The sequence below is a fragment of the Homo sapiens genome, chromosome 3, assembly GCF_000001405.40.
Source record: "Homo sapiens chromosome 3, GRCh38.p14 Primary Assembly".
Taxonomy (NCBI): domain Eukaryota; kingdom Metazoa; phylum Chordata; class Mammalia; order Primates; family Hominidae; genus Homo; species Homo sapiens.
Window position 1 is genome coordinate 137,998,816 of NC_000003.12, and position 16,990 is coordinate 138,015,805.

At 42.2% G+C, this 16,990-nt stretch overlaps 1 protein-coding gene across 2 annotated transcripts in view; it reads left to right on the top strand.

The window, feature by feature from the left end:
• The window catches only part of CLDN18 (claudin 18), a 34,834-nt gene continuing 17,844 nt past the window's right edge, over positions 1-16,990 (top strand). The window contains exon 1 of one of the 2 annotated variants that reach the window (NM_001002026.3): positions 1-273. In NM_001002026.3, coding sequence (NP_001002026.1) covers positions 54-273 — 220 coding nt within the window. In that variant the 5' untranslated portion in view covers positions 1-53. Of the gene's footprint in view, positions 274-11,349; positions 11,631-16,990 lie in introns of those variants that run through there. The other variant, NM_016369.4, reaches the window with a different exon arrangement.

Below are 16,990 nucleotides of genomic sequence, written 5' to 3' on the forward strand. Positions count from 1 at the left end.
AGAATTGCGCTGTCCACTTGTCGTGTGGCTCTGTGTCGACACTGTGCGCCACCATGGCCGTGACTGCCTGTCAGGGCTTGGGGTTCGTGGTTTCACTGATTGGGATTGCGGGCATCATTGCTGCCACCTGCATGGACCAGTGGAGCACCCAAGACTTGTACAACAACCCCGTAACAGCTGTTTTCAACTACCAGGGGCTGTGGCGCTCCTGTGTCCGAGAGAGCTCTGGCTTCACCGAGTGCCGGGGCTACTTCACCCTGCTGGGGCTGCCAGGTAAGGGCCAGGTGTCTGGCTGGCTGGAGGGAGAGATTGGAGGTGGAGAGGAAACTGCAGGCTCTGTCTGGGCACCACGACAGGGACTGCTGGGGAGGGAGGAACTGCGATTCGTGTTTGACAGGGGCAACAGCCACCTGCACCAGGGTGGAATAGGAGGACGGGAACCTTAGGGAGAGGAAGTTTCTGGAGCTGTCTGAGCTCCTGTTCCCCTAACTGGATGGTGCCCAATTCTCCCAGAGGAACTTATTTTTTCAATAACTCCTATGTGAGCAATGGCATAGTCTCAATCACCCATAGGAACAGGACTCAGGAGGCCCAGACTTCGGCCACTTTGTTCCTTCGGCCCCGGGATTCCCCCTCACTGAGTTGGGGACTGCCTATCTCCTGAACAGATTCCATCTTCAGGCCTCCTTGTGCCTGAACTCAGCTTCCAGGGACACCTAAGTAAGCAACAGCAATAGAAATCGGGCAGAGGAAAAAGGCAGAGAAAAAGAACTAGGTGGCTGTGTTTCCCTGGGACGTCAGATGGGCCCCTGCACTGGGGCTCCAGGTTCCCGATCTCCAGAAAATATTGGTGACAAGGAACCAGACTCAGGGCGCTCTCTGCACAGGGGATTCTGCTGTGGCAAATGGGCGCTGCCATGCAGGGAAAGGTATTGCAGGCTGCCGTGCCCCCTTCTAGGGATTGGCATATTCAATACACAAGGATTGTGTTTATTTGCTTAGTAGATTGGTCATTTTAACTAGAAGAAAAATTCAAGTCACAAGAGTAGAGAATGTTAAAAATGTCTTTCACTCAGATAAGAGAGTAAGACAATGAATAAATTTGTCGTTTTTATTTTTGCTTGTTTCTTTCATAAATACATATTGAAGTCTTGAGAGGGGCATTGATCTAAGGGGGGCAATGTAAACAGGATCAGAAATGGAAAATATGGGGCTTTCTCCTCCAGGAATTTGCCATTTGACTGCAGGGTCAAGACTTAGACACACAAAAAAGGTAACAACAGAAGACTTGAATCATACGGTGATTTATTCTTTTATACATTCAACACTTATTTACGGAGAGCTTCCTATAACCTTGGGAATCTGTGGGCCTACCATTCCCAAAAATATAAAAGAGTGCACCAGGCTGGATATGACAATATGCCAAGTGAGGGAGACAGAGGGCCAGTGTGGCAGGAGAAGAGGGTGAAACTGCAAGACTCCATCAAGGTAGAAAAACCACAAGTGTCTTGTGAAAAGGAGTTAAGATTTGGAGATGGCAGCAATACAGAAAGGAAAAACAGCATGGGCAAAGCCATGAGGGTGCCACCGCCCAAGTCTTACTCAGGGGCAATGAGAGAATGACCTTGGCGGGAGAAGAAGGTTTATGTGGGGATGATTATGGAGAGCAATGGGTGCCAGGCTAAGGTGTTTGGAAGCCATTGAGAGGTTGGTTGTTTGGTTGGTTGGTTGGTTGGTTGGTTTGGGATTGTGGTATTTCAAGGATATTAATCTGGCAAGAAGATGCTAAAGAGATTGAATCAGTAGGACAGTCAAAGGCAAAGGCAGTAGAACCAAAGTGAGAAGGAGGGACTGGGTATAAACAGCGGAACGTGAGCCAGATGGGTGGGTAACTGGCAGCTGGTCAGTGAGGTCTCCCTCCACTAAGGACCAGAAGGAAGATGAACCTCTTCCACGTTCCCATGTCCTGCTGACCCCTCCTTAGCTCTTGGTCTAACCATTTGCCACTGAGATTCTCCCTCACTGCAGATACGAAGTGCCCAAAACCTGCCCAGTGGCTAGGACCTCGGTCCATGCAGTTACAGGCCATAGTGGGGAGAATCAGCCTATGGCTGACCTCATGCCACACACAGCACCTGCAGTGATATCTGAGGGCTTCATTCTGCTTCACAAAGGGAAAATAACAATGACAAATCATGCACTAGCACTTGAGTAGGCAACTGCCTTACAATATTTTGTATAATCTCTACAGCCACCTTGTTAGTTTGGTACTACAATTATCATTTTTGAGACAAGAAAACTGATTCTGAGTAACTTGCCCAAGGACACTTGCAGATGTAGCCAGAGCTAAAACCCTGTCCTGTCCGCACCTAAGCCCTGGCTTGCAGCCCTAATAGGGAGCCCTAAACACAAAGCAGAAATCTCTCCTGACCCAAGTAGAAATTCCCAGTGCAGAAGCACCTTCCTGTCCTCATCTCTTGCCTAAGTCTGATGCTGCAGGCCCATACAGAATTCTCCTTGAATGGGGTCCTGGACTAACAACAGCTGTCAATATCCCCCCATTCTTTTTTTTTTTTTTTCGCATTTTTAGTAGAGACAGGGTTTCACTGTGTTAGCCAGGATGGTCTCGATCTCCTGACCTCATGATCCGCCTGCCTTGGCCTCCCAAAGTGCTGGGATTACAGGTGTGAGCCACCGCGCCCGGCAACATTCCCCCATTCTTATGCTGGAGAGATAGGGAGATGGAGGCTCAGAGGAGCAAGGTGATTCGCCCAGGCTCAAAGATCTAAAAACGAACCAGATTGAATCTACCTGTTATGCCTTCTCTTAAAACGTGTGTGCGCATGTGTGTGTGTAAAATAAAACTCTTTGACTATTTAATAGATAGTTTATAGAAGTATTTTTCAAAGAGAATATAGATTATAGAAGCCCTTTTAAAAGAAAAAATTCTTGCATACCATCAAGGTTGATCTAAAGTATACTTACTTTAATGTTATTTTAATATATACAAGTATAACAATAGACTTCAATTCCTTATGCATATGTCTTATACAAGTACAAAAACCACATTTGCAAATGTAAGATACATAAAACTAAAAAACTAATAAGCCCAAATTTAAAATGTAACTGAGTGTGAGAGATAGTGTTCATTTTCATTTGGGGTGAAACAGGACAAAGAAACAACCTCAAACAAGTGGATTTTTTTTTTATTTCACCTGTTTTAGTGTTCAACCTTGATATTAATGACATAGATTCTCTATTCACATAGAACTGTTTTACAAAATAATATTAACTTTAAGGTAATCATGCCTCACACTTAGCCACCACCCTCTCAGCGAAGCATTCTCTGATGTCTGGGGTAGTGAGGTGTCTACGACTTGGTAGTTCTCTGCAGTGGTCTTCCTTGTTTAAGGAAAGATTGTATTGTGGTGCTCCTGAAATCCAGTTTGAATGGCTATCTTAACCCACTTATTTCTAGAATTAGACGGAAAAAAAAAGTTGTTTGGTGTGTATTTACTGCCAATAATTGTTGCAATCAGGTCTGACCAAAGACAGGCCTGTGAAATGCTTGCAGGTGATGCTAATGTACTGACCGCCAGCGTGCAGGCATTTGAGTTTGGAGTTCCCCCAATTCTGTTTTCTGTTTAATCTACATGACTCTGTTCATTAGCAGTTGAGGATGTCATTTGGCTGTCCTCTGGTGCAAATACGATCATAAACACCAACATAAACATAATCCATAAGTAGCCAGCCAAAGGATCTGGAACATTCTTGTTTTAATTTGTTTCTCATTTCCATTGAAATGAAAGTATGGAATTTTTAAATTTCCATTGAGAAGTTAACATACCCTGAGGATGGAAACACAGACACTTAGGCTCAGAGGGAAGAAGACAGACAAAACCAAATCTTCCAGAGAAACCCTAGGCATAGAACTGGTGGTCACCTTCCTGGGCAAAGTCATTTCACTAGGCCCATAACCAGTAGTCAACCTTTTCTGGGCTGATTGGGTTTAGACAAAGTCCCTTCTTGGAGAGATCAAGGAACAAAAAGCAAAGGTCTTTGGTCCTTTCACACACATGGAAATAATAAGGAAATAAACAACAACATAGAAATTGTGGCATTAGAAGAAATATTTATTCATTCAACAAACATTTATTGAACACCTACTATGTCCCAGACTGTCTGCACATAGGGAATATAGGTGTCAAAGGGCTCATAAATCTAGGAAGACAGACATACAGTAAACAGTCTCAACGTCAGCCCTATTGACATTGTGGGCCATATAATTCTTTTCTGTGGGAGCCTCTCCTGTATACTGTAGAACATTTAAAGGCATCTCTGGCCTCTACCCACCAGACAAGAGTAGCATCAATACCCACCCACACCAGTTATGGCAACCAAAAGTGGCTCCTTCCATTGCCAAATGTCCTCTAAGGGGCAAATCATCCCTGGTTAAGAACCACAGCAATAAATTTTAGTAAGTGTCATGTCTGGTACAGGGTGCAGACCATGAAGAAAGGGAAGGCTTCCAAAAGGAATGACAGCTGCACTGAGTTAATAACAACAGATATGAATTACCCAAGAAGATAAAGAGGCAAAGGGTTTTCCAGAAAGAGAGACCATCATCTTGGAAAATCACAGTGGCACGAGAGAATGTACTATGTTAAGAAAATTAAAAGGACTTAGTTCTGCTTATATGTGATATGGGCTAGGGCAGGTGGAGTGCACAGTACAATGAGATACGTTAAACGCTTAAGAATAATATGCTTAAATATTTGGCAAAATCAAAATGAAAGAAGTTTTACTAACAAATTGTTTAAAGATTTCGTGGAAATATATAATACAGGCTTCTAGATGGGGCTATTATTAAAATGTAAATTTGTCCCTAATTAATGTGTAATGATAATAATAATAGAATTTATTAAGACCTTGCTATGTGCCAGGCATTGTTTTGAGAAATTAACATATGCCTGCTCTGATTTAGTTGGAGAGACAGGAATAATAAAAAAATTTTTTAAAGAAATTAATATATGCCTGTATTAATATACATAACTTATATAATTATAAAAGTTTAGGCCCGGCACGGTGACTCACACCTATAATCCCAGCACTTTGGGAGGCCAAGGCAGGGGAATCATTTGAAGTCAGGAGTTCGAGACCAGCCTGACCAACATGGTGAAACCCTGTCTCTACTAAAAATACAAAAAAATTAGCCAGGTGTGGTGGTGCACGCCTGTAGTCCCAGCTACTCAGGAGGCTGAGGCAAGAGAATCACTTGAACCCTGGAGGTGGAGGTTGCAGTGGGCCAAGATTGCACCACTGCAACACAGTGAGACTCCATCTCAAAAAAAAAATTTTAGATAAATTACCTATACATATTTTAATCTTTGCAACTACCCTATGAAGTAAGTAGTAGTATTATCTCCATTTTATAGGTGAGGAAACAGGCACAAAGAGGTTAAAATATTTGCCTAATGGCACTGTGGTAGTAAATGGCAGGATGAAGATTCAGACCATACAGGCGTTCTTCAGAGCCTCAGCTCTTCTCCTTTACAAGAATTCTTATCAAAATACCGGCAAGAGTTTCCCCATGGGAACTTGACAAAGTGTCTAGGTATAAGAAGAAGCAGACAAAAAAAACGAAAGTTTTTTTTTTTAAGTATAATAAAGTGATGGGCTAACGCTGCCAGATATTCAACCAAATTTTAAAGCTTTGAAAGTTAAAAGTATGCTTTGGCATAAGGATGGACAAACAGATTAATGGAATAAAATCTAAAATCAGAAAGACATATATGTGAGTTGAATACAAGATAGAGGAGGTTTTACAAAGCAATGAAGAAAAAGGAAGTTTATTTAGTTAATGTTGCAGAAGTCATTGACTAGCTTTTTTTGAAGGAAAAAGTAATTACAGTATAACTAACAAATATACCAAAATAAATCCTAGATTAATTAAATATTTAAAAATATAAGATAATTTTAAATATTTTAAAATTATAAAATAATTCTAGAATAACTATCTCCTAAATGGAAATTATTCTCTAAGCATAGAAATAGTGGAAGAAAACACAAAGAAAAAGTAAATTTATTTGACTACATCATTCAACAAATATTTATTGAGCATACTTTATGTACCAGGCACCAGGAAGCACATAAAATAAAATACATTATATGTTTTTTTCTAAATCATGTATGGAATTTAAAAGCAAATAATCAATGGGAAAAGATGTTTTTAGTAATTACAGCAATGTATTAAAATCCTTAATAAATACATAGCTCAGATAAACTGATAGAAAAAGTGCTAAAATTCTAGTAAATCAATGAGGAAGGAATACAAACTGACAATTCAAGAAAAGAACAAAAATCAAATGCTTCATACAAACTTGTTGGGTTTTTTGTTTTTTTTCTTTTCTATTTTTGATGATGAATATTTTTTATTATTATTATACTTTAAGTTCTGGGATACATGTGCAGAACGTGCAGGTTTGTTACATAGGTATACATGTGCCATAGTGGTTTGCTGCACCCATTAACCATCTACATTAGGTATTTCTCCTAATGCTATCCCTCCCCGTGCCACCCACCCCCCTAACAGGCCCAGGTGTGTGATGTTCCCCTCCCTGTGCCCATATGTTCTCATTGTTCAACTCCCACTTACGAGTGAGAACATGAGGTGTTTGGTTTTCTGCTCCTGTGTTAGTTTGCTGAGAATGGTTGTTTCTAGCTTCATCCATGTCCCTGCAAAGGACATGAACTCATATTCGTTTTTTTCAAAAAGGCTCAAACTCAGTAATTAAAGAGATGCAAGTTAAAACAAGTAATCATATACATATATAACTTACCAAATTCACAATGTAGACTAGGATGTAAAGAGATAAGAACTTTCAAACACTGCTGTTAGGATAAAATTCATAGAAAGCAATATGGTTGTGTATAAAAAAAGATTTTTTAAAACTTCACAGTTTTTGACAACTTAATTTCACTCCTAGGAATCTATCCTAAAAGAGTCATCAGAAATGCTGACAAAGAGTTATATGTAAGATGTTCATCATAACATTGCCTTTTATTCAAAAAAATGGGGGAAGGTACAATCTAACTATATAAAAATAAGTGAATAATAGCACTTCTATATAATGAAATACTAACACACTCATATTAAATGATGTTTACAAGAGCTTTGGTGAAACTAATACAATTAAGTGAAAAGAGCAAAACATCAAACTATATTATCCTTTAATTATGTAAAAAAATACATACAGATAATTGATAAGAAGGAAGTATGCCAAATATTTTGTCTAGGGCTTAAAATTGTGAGCAATTTGTTCAAATTCTCTCCAAATTTTCTATTATGAACACCAAAAGGTGAAATTAAAAATTAGGGATATATGTGGTAATATTTTTGAAGAAAAAATTAATAGATGTGTCAATTATTTTTCTCACTAGTATATTCATTTTATTTCTTCCTAATTCCTAGCTATAATATTTTCTATTGTTATTTATGCCACCATTTTTGCCTAATTACCATAGACAGTGTTATAAAAAGTGGTGGAAATGTTTTCTCCAATGGCAGTAAAATAATATAAGCTCTTGGAAACTTACAACCTGAAATGACACTGCCAGGGCCGTATTTAAACCTGAATGCAGGGATGATTTCCCCTAGGAAGTCAGCAAAAATTCAGCTCCATTTTAAAGGTGATTAAACAAAGTTTACCAACCCCATTATTGTTAAACAGAATCAGACCTGGACTTATCTGGTAGAGATACATTGATATGTTTCAATAAAGCCTATTGCCATAAATGAGAAAGTCATATTTTCCTCTGCAGACCCCCATTCATTTTTTGGCAGATACGGCTAAAATAGTAGTCTGCTCAGAGCCCAGAAAACTTACCAGGAAGTGAAAAATCCTATCTTCCAGGTGTTTTAAAACACATCAGTATTTATTTCACACAGAAGAAGTGTGTAGATTTACAATTTCACTCCTCTCATTCAGTATTCTGCCTAGGTAGAGATAGTCTTAGTTTATCCTTTAAAATTAACTTTTTCTATTTTCAAAAAAGTGTCACTGTCACCATTTCAGCCAAGAAAGAAAATTTAATTCCTTATTATCTGAATAACATTTTTCCCTATTTTGAAACTCTGCATGAAAACATTTGCATAGGGAAACTGGGGGGGGAATTGCCATAGATGAAAAATAGATAACTTTAATCAACAATTTTTTTATTTTTCCATCTTCAATCTATGTTTTTGGTGGTATTCTAACACATGTATATGTATTGTCGGGGGAAGGTTAGACAAATGTCATAAATTGAACATCTGAAAATCAAACCAATAGAGCTTTTTAAGAATAAAAGGATACAATTTGACCTAGCAATCCCATTACTGGGTATATACCCAAAGGAATATAAACCATTCTACTATAAAAGCACATGCACACATATGTTTATTGCAGCACGATTTATAATAGCAGAGATGTGGAACCAACCCAAATGCCCATCAATGATAGACTGGATAAAATGTGGTACATATACACCATAGAATACTATGCAGCCATAAAAAGGAATGAGATCATATCCTTTGCAGGAACATGGATGAAGCTAGAAGCCATCATCCTCAGCAAACTAACACAGAAACAGAAAACTATACACCACATGTTCTCACTCATAAGTGGGAGCTGAACAATGAGAACACATGGACACAGGGAGGGGAACAACATATACTGGGGCCTGTCGGGGGTCGGGGGGGTGAGGGGAGGGAACCTAGATGATGGGTCAATAGGTGCAGCAAACCACCATGGCACATGTATACCTATGTAACAAACCTGCACGTTCTGCACATGTATCCTAGAACTTAAAGTAAAATAAATTTTTTAAATGAAATAAATTTTTAAAATGAGGATTAAAAAGCCTGCCTGTTGGTTGAAATAAAAGTAAGATAGACTCTGTCTATGGAAACAGTGGTAGAATCATTCCTGAATTATTCCAACAACAGTTTTCAACCTAATTGGTCAATCTATGCCCACCAGCAGAAACCAGTGTCACTTCTAACTGTTCCCTTCCCTCCTTTTAGAATTGGCCTTGTAACAACTCAAGGGACACACTGCCATCAACATTCCTTCACTGTAGATCATGTAACTGTTGCTTACCCTCTTATTTTAGGCTTTCTGGCTCATGCTTCACTAGAAACACTGATCACAGAACCTAAAGTAAGGTGTGCAGTGAAGGGGAGTGTTGCCTCCATTCAAATTAGAGGTAGTTCTTCCCTATTTGCTTTCTGTGTTTGCTGGGAATAATGCAGTGGGAGCAGAGGCTGGGTGCACCCAAGATAACAAAATGTCCAGACACAGAGGCTCGTTTCCTGGAGAACCTGTAAAGACCTATAAAGGTTAAAGATTGGAGTATGTATGTGGGGGGGGAGTGTGGGGGTGTGTGGGGGTGTGTGTGGGTGTGTGTGTATGTTTCAGGGCCTTGAGGTCCAGATTTTGGAGAGTGTCATTAAAATGTCTCCGGAGGGCTGGGCACAGTGGCTCACGCCTGCAATCCTGGCACTTTGGGAGGCCGAGGCAGGCAGATCATTTGAGGTCAGGAGTTCGAGGCCAGCCTGACCAACATGGTGAAACCCCATCTCTACTAAAATACAAAAATTAGCTGGGTGTGGTGGCAGGCGCCTGTAATCTCAGCTAGTCAGGAGGCTGAGGCAGGAGAATCGCTTGAACCCAGGAGGTGGAGGTTGCAGTGAGCCAAGATTGCGCCACTGCACTCCAGCCTGGGCGACAGAGTGAGACTCCCTCTCAAAATAAATAAATAAATAAATAAAAACAAAATATATCTGGAAGCCAGGCACAGTGAGTCACGCCTGTAATCCCAGCACTTTGGGAAGCCAAGATAAGCAGATCACTTGAGCTCAGGAATTCGAGCCCAGCGTAAGCAACATGGTGAAACCCTGTCTCTACTAAAAACATAAAAATTAGCCGGGTGTGGTGGTATGCATGTATAGTTCCAAATACTCTGGAGGCTGAGGCATGAGAATTGCTTGAACCCAGGAGGCAGAATTTGCAGTGACCCCGATGACAACACTGCACTCCAGTCTGGGCAACAGAGCAAGACTCCATCTCAAAAAATTTTTAAAAAGTCTCTGGATTCAGAGGCCAGACATACCTGGCCCCCATATCCGTCAACCAATTCTCTAGCAAAATTTAGTTGTATAGACAAAACATAACACCTGATGTCTTCAGCCAAGTCTCTCTACTGTGATTATACAATTCCTAATATTTTGACCAATTCTAGTGAAAACTTTTCTGCAAAATGTAGAAGATAGTGTATGAGATCTGAAAAGGCTCTGGAGTGTTCTAGTTTAGATCTCACATGTTGTGGATGAAGAACCTGTGACCTACAAGGGCTTAGGAGTTTGCCCCCAACCTGCCCAGCACACGACAAGTTAGGGGCAGCATCAGGAGCAGATCCTAAGCCTCTCCGTGACCAGGCCAAGGACTTCAGCCCAGCTAACCCTGGTCCCTCCTCTGGCCTTTGTGGGACCTCCTGTGTCAGCCACAGAGTCCTCATGTGGTTCTTGTGGCACGAGTGAAAGCATGACATGGAAATCAACGGGGTCCCTGGCTTCCTCTCATCCCAGTTCCAATGCTTATGGACCAAGAGCATAGATCTAGGATTTGGCTTCGTGTTCTCAAAAGTGGGGACAATTTTGCCTGCCCCTGCTGCTCCATATGGAAACAGAGAAAGAGCGCTGGACTGGAAGCTGAGGTGGGAGCCCCACCCCTGCCGTTTTTAGAGTATCTGTGGTTCCAGGCACTGGGACAAGTCCCTTAACTTATCTGTACTTTTCTTGACTCACCCCCAAAAAATGGGGATAATAGTGCCTGCCCTACCCATTTCTGTAAGATCAAAATGGAAAGATGTAAGTGAAAAAAGTCGTTCATGAGTTGTGAGGAGAAAATGTGAAAAGTCTGGTTTAAGACAGAGCACGGTGGGTGCTTCCCAGGGGCCATCTTAAGCGAGGTCAGCCAAAGTGGTCTGCAGTCACGTTCCCCGTGGTGGGGACACGTCAGCCTTTTCTCCAGATGGCGGCGCTCTCCGGAGGAGCCGGAGCTGGAGGGAGGCCGGTCTGGCCCGGAGCAGGGAGTCCTTCTGCTCCCTGGCACGGCTCTGCGCTGAACCCACCCGGCCTGCGGAGAGCAGACAAGTGCCTCTTGGGCCCGCTTCTCTAACAAATGTAAAAATAATGCCCTTGAACCAGGAGCGAAACTGAGCTATCTAAGGAAAACACTGTGAGCAAATACTGAGAGCCTAGGGAAACCATCTGATTAGAAGAGCTCCCCTCAGGAGCGCGTTAGCTTCACACCTTCGGCAGCAGGAGGGCGGCAGCTTCTCGCAGGCGGCAGGGCGGGCGGCCAGGATCATGTCCACCACCACATGCCAAGTGGTGGCGTTCCTCCTGTCCATCCTGGGGCTGGCCGGCTGCATCGCGGCCACCGGGATGGACATGTGGAGCACCCAGGACCTGTACGACAACCCCGTCACCTCCGTGTTCCAGTACGAAGGGCTCTGGAGGAGCTGCGTGAGGCAGAGTTCAGGCTTCACCGAATGCAGGCCCTATTTCACCATCCTGGGACTTCCAGGTAGGCACCGTGCACCCCGGGGTAGAGCCAGGTGAACCAGGTGAGCAGGGAAGGGGGCGTTTGCGTTAAGCCCCACTCCCACCTCTGGGTGAGGACCCTGGCAGCTCTGGCTCAGAATGAAAGGTGTGAATAAAAGGAGAAGCTGGCTCGTGTCTAATAGGGCAACAGTCATGCAGGAGAAAATGGGAGGGTTAATACTCAAGGCGAAGGAATCGCTAGTGAGGAGGCAGGCCTCAAGAAGAATGGGTCTATTGTAAGGGTATGTTCATGATACCTGGAATAAACTCGTGTTTCTCAAGGAGAAAATAAATTGTGTGCATTACTTGCATGTGGCTTGCTCCTGCCTGCACATACATGGGAGCAGGGAAGCAGGATGCTGAGTATTTTGTTATATCTGGAAAAGTTTATTGAGAGCTAATTTAATTTTCTTTCCATTTCAATTAAATTTTTCAAAGTTGGAGTCTCTGTGGGTGCCAAAAAGAATATTGCCATTAAATTATAAATATCCTTTTGCTGCATTTGTATTAAGAATATCTTGTATACTGTCCTAAAAATCAATGTATATCAAAATATAATTACAGAATTATAATTATATTATGTCAGAATATAAATATAATTATAAATGTGACATCCTTTCACCCCTAAAGATGAAATAAATTAAACCCCTGCTTTTAATATAGATAATTACTTCAAATATGCATCATAGCAACTTTGCATTCTGAATAATATGGGAGCTCTATTTGTATTTTTAAAATGCAAACAAGAAAATAATAGCTCTAGCTAATTAGTGGCTCTAAGGGGTGGCCAAGATGTGAGTGTGATGGAGAAAGGAGAACAATGTCTCTGAAACAAATACCTTTTATAAACAAGTAGATGGAAATAAATTTGCAAGAAATTGTGAAGAGGCTGTAGAGCCCTTGAAACTGAATTGAATTGTGAAAAGCAATTCAACTAATCCAAGTTCATTTTCAGAAAGAAATAGAAGATGGGTGTCAGAGTAGAAGAATTTGATTATTTATTCCATTTTTTGGAAGCCACTTATTGCAGGACCAACAGGATGACTGACTCCGGGGAAAGACCTGCTTAGGGAAGCAAGGGAGGTAGAACCTGGCCAAAAGAAAGAGAACCAGACTGAGGAGGGATTATGCTGTAGTGGGAGGGGAGAGGTGAGATGCAGGAAATGCCACACAGAGTGTTGAGTTGCTAGTTATGTCTAATTTTAACTATCATATAAAGAAAAAATATTGTCCTCATATTCAAAATTAAGGCATGATGTCTTATGACTTCATGTTCAATAACCTCTCCCCAGGGCCCCACTACATATTATCAATCTCTTGCTCACTGTGTATCACAGTCTCCATACATGGGGCTCCTGAATATTCCCACTCTCCTAAATGGGCAAACCCCATTGCGTCCACTGTGACTTGTCACTCCTATTCTGTCAACGGATCTTATCTCCATGACACCCTCTCAGAATAGCTCCACCTCTCCCCCTTGATGGAACAAGATTATCTTCCCTGCTTTCCTGCTAAGGTCAACCTCTCCTGCTAAGGTCAACCTCCCCAGCAGGGCTCTGAAGGCCTCATGCCACCTGTCTGGGATCATGCCCTGTTGGTCAGCCCCTCTCCTCCTTGCCTCTTTCATCTCTTCTCCTCACTTATGCATATGGCCTCCTTCCTGGGGAAATCTGTTGATCCTGATCATTGTCAAGTTCTGTCTCTCTCCTGGGTCACTGACAAACCAAATTAAAAGACTAAGTTTTTCCACTACCTCTCACCCTTAACCTTTCTCAGTCTGGTTTCTATCCTTCATCTCTATAGAATGTTTGCTTTTTTGACCATAGCAGAGGATGAAGGGGAGTATTTCAGTCACCAACTCCTAGTTCTCAGTTCTCATCTCCTTAGACATTTCAAAACCCAAACAACTTCCACGGTTCCCCATTCCCAGCTTAACTAGGTGCACACATAACAGCCTGACACCAAGCCTTCCTAACCCCTCACCTACCTTCCTTGGCAGTCTCTTACTCCCCCATCCTGTTTCTTCTGTCCTTTCAGTATACCTTGGACTTGGTCCTGGACATCCATTGCTCCTGCTCCCCTGAATTCCCCCCTCCACCACCCCAACTGTCCTCTCACAAATCTTCCTCCAAACCTCCTCAAGCCCCCAAATTGAATAAAGATTCCACAAGTCTCTGTACCAAACCCAGAGCATTCTCATAGCATTGAGCATATTCACCCCGCGTGACACTGCTCTCAAATCTGAGAAGCATTTATTGCATACCTACAAAGAGTACACAACACAAAACTGGCCTTGTCGGCACCGTAAATTCCAGCAGAGGGGACAGGCATGTGTGTGAATATCAAAGCAAAGGCAACACATGTCATGGGGCTTTGACACAAGTGTTTGGAGCCCAGGAAGAAAGTGGTTATTCAGTAGGAAGAGTCAGGAGGGGAGGAAATCAGGACAGTTTTGCTAAGGGAGTTCTGTTTGAGTCTGAACTTTAGCTTACTAACTTGGTTATTTGTACATTTGTGTCATTCAGCTTCTATGTGGTGTTTCCCTTCAGCTGGATAAGAATTATTTCCCCATTTCCCAGAAAAGCGCCTGGTAGAGTGAGTATTTAGCAAAGGATTGATAAACTAAGTTGAATTAAATAGTACGAATAGTTCATTTTAAGTGTTTATGCAAGCCATTGAACTAAAAACAGGTTAAGGTCTTCCCCAAAAAGGACAGTAAATCATTTTTGTACTATAAATTTTTTGTTATTATGGCTCCATATATAGAAAAGGACCTGGTCCTCCTCCTGCCTGGAACAGATTCATTTGTTCATCCAATCATGTATTTAACAAATATCTCTTGCATGCCTACTGTGTTGCAGAGACTAGAGTTCAGGAACTCTATTAGTCAGAGTAGTTAATGTCTGCTGCTGCAACAAACAAACCTAAACATCTCAATGGCTTGACACAACAAAAGTTTACTTCCTGCCCACATAAAGTCCACTGTGGGAAGAGCAGCCTCCTTGTAGCTACACTCTTCAAAGTTGCTGGGGCAAGAGAAGAAAGGCTTGAAGGAGGCACAACAGTTCTTAACTGCTTCAATCTGAAAGGAACACATGTCACTCACAGTGCGTTGGCCACAACTAGCCATATGGCCCCAGGAGCTGGGAGATGTAGGAGCACATAGCTATTGGGTGAGCACCTACTGTCTCTACCACAGGGAGCATTTGAGTAGTAACTTCCTGGGCTGCAACACATCAACCACACTAATTTCAGTTCTGCCAGACAGATAATTCCCTGAACATCAAATAGTCAAAACCAATGAGATTGCAAAAGAAGATATACCATTAATTTATATTTAAACAAATATGATAGAATTATATGTGTAAACTATCATCTGACACAAGATAATATATAGCGTGTAATTTCAGAGCTAGACATTTTGGTGGGGATGGCCTGGAATCAGGAAAGAGGAGGGGTTTAAGGTAAATTTCTGCAATGTAAAAATTCCCTAACATTTAATAACAGAGGAATGTAAATATGGCCATGGGGGTGGGGGCGGAAAGCACATTTTTTTCAAAAAGTAAGGAGGAAGAAAGGAACAGTGGGTGAGGGAGAGAGGGAGGGAAGGTGAGAAGGAAGAAAGTAGAGAGGAAGAGAGGGAGGAAGAGAGGTGGGAGAATTGGTGATGCTAGGTACTTTTATTCCGTGTCAGGCCAGACAAAGAGCTCTTAGAGAGAGAAGCCAGTTGCCACTCATGGAACCCTGAGATGTTTCAGACCCACGAAAGGAGAGGTCCTTGGCTCTCTGAGAAGGATTTTAGGGAAGCTGGAAGAAATGACTTTCCTCAAATCCCAGCTGGAGGACAGCAAATGTGAATGTCAGGGCCAGTAGCCATGCACTGAGGGCTCTTGGAAACTGTTGGTCACAACACCATCTATTGGTAAGCTCTGTCGGTGGTAAGATTGTGGCCAGAGGACTCTGATGTGCCCGTCTTGCATCTCCTACAAAACCCAGCATGGCACACAACAAGCATAGGGGGCTGGGGGAGGGGGAAGTCGGTGCTGCTCTGTGTCCTGTCTCCCAATTGTGCTGTGAAAAACCAAGCTGGACTGAACCACCATGGGAACTGGGGGATAGTTCCCAGCAGCCACCACAGAAGTATACCCCAGTTCTGCCTATCTGAGTTGAGGGAAGAGGATTTCACCAAAAGCCAGAAAAAAACACTTCTTGGGATTGAGTTTGCAGAAAAGGAGGTACTTGAAATCACTGAAAATCTGTGGCCTTCAAGAAGACTGTGGACTTAAAAGCAGACAGTCCTCATGCAGCAGGAGTGGCTACACTACAAATTGGCACCCCAAAATACAAATATCTATTTGATGACTTAGATAAGGAATGGGCAGGAGCTGGGAGTGGTGACTTACCCCTGTAATCCCATCACTTTGGGAGGCTGAGGTGGGAGGATTGCTTGAGGCCAGGAGTTCAAGACCAGCCTGGGCAACAAAATGAGATCCCATCTCTACAGTAACAAAATTTTTTAAAACTAGCTGGGCACAGTGGTGTATGCCAGTAATCCCAGCTACTCAGGAGGCTGTGGCAGGAAAATCACTGGAGCTGGAGTTAGAAGCTGCAGTGAACTGTGATCATGCCACTGCACTCCATCCTGGGCAACAAAGTGAAACTCCATCCATCTCTAAAAATAAAATATTTTTAAAAAAATATTTAAAGAGTGTAAGAATGGGCAGGAAGATTACCAGGAGGAAAAGGCTTGAAAGAAACTCAAAAGCTAAAGGCAACAATGCAAGGAGATAAAACAGCCCGAGATGACACCTGTGGGGCTCCTAAAGGAGCTGGAAGGAGTAACAACGAGCCAGGACCTAATGCCTAACTTCTCATCAGAAACAGCTGTGTAAAGTATTTTCTTGTGCTTAACGAGGAAACTGGGGAAGAGAGACCTGAAGCAGAGGAGCTGGATGAAATGCCTGGAGGGAGAAATGTAAGTTTGCAATGATTCTCCCAGAGAGTTTAATTTTGACCTAGAACCCAGAAAAGTATCACTCTTTAGCAGAGAAGTAAGCCTTAAAGTGTTTACAGAAAGGCAAAAAGCAGATACCTATAATACTTTAGTTAATAATCATAATTATCACTGGGTACAGTGGCTTGCACCTGTAATCCTAGAAATGCAGGAGGCTGAGACAGAAGGATCATCACTTGAACCCAGAAATTCAAAGCCACGGTGATCATGCCACTGCACTCCAGCGTGGGCAACAGAGCAAGATCTCACCTCAAAATATATACATAAATAAATAATTATAATAATCATTGCCAGTTATTAAATTCTTCCTAAGTGCAATCTCTGTTCTT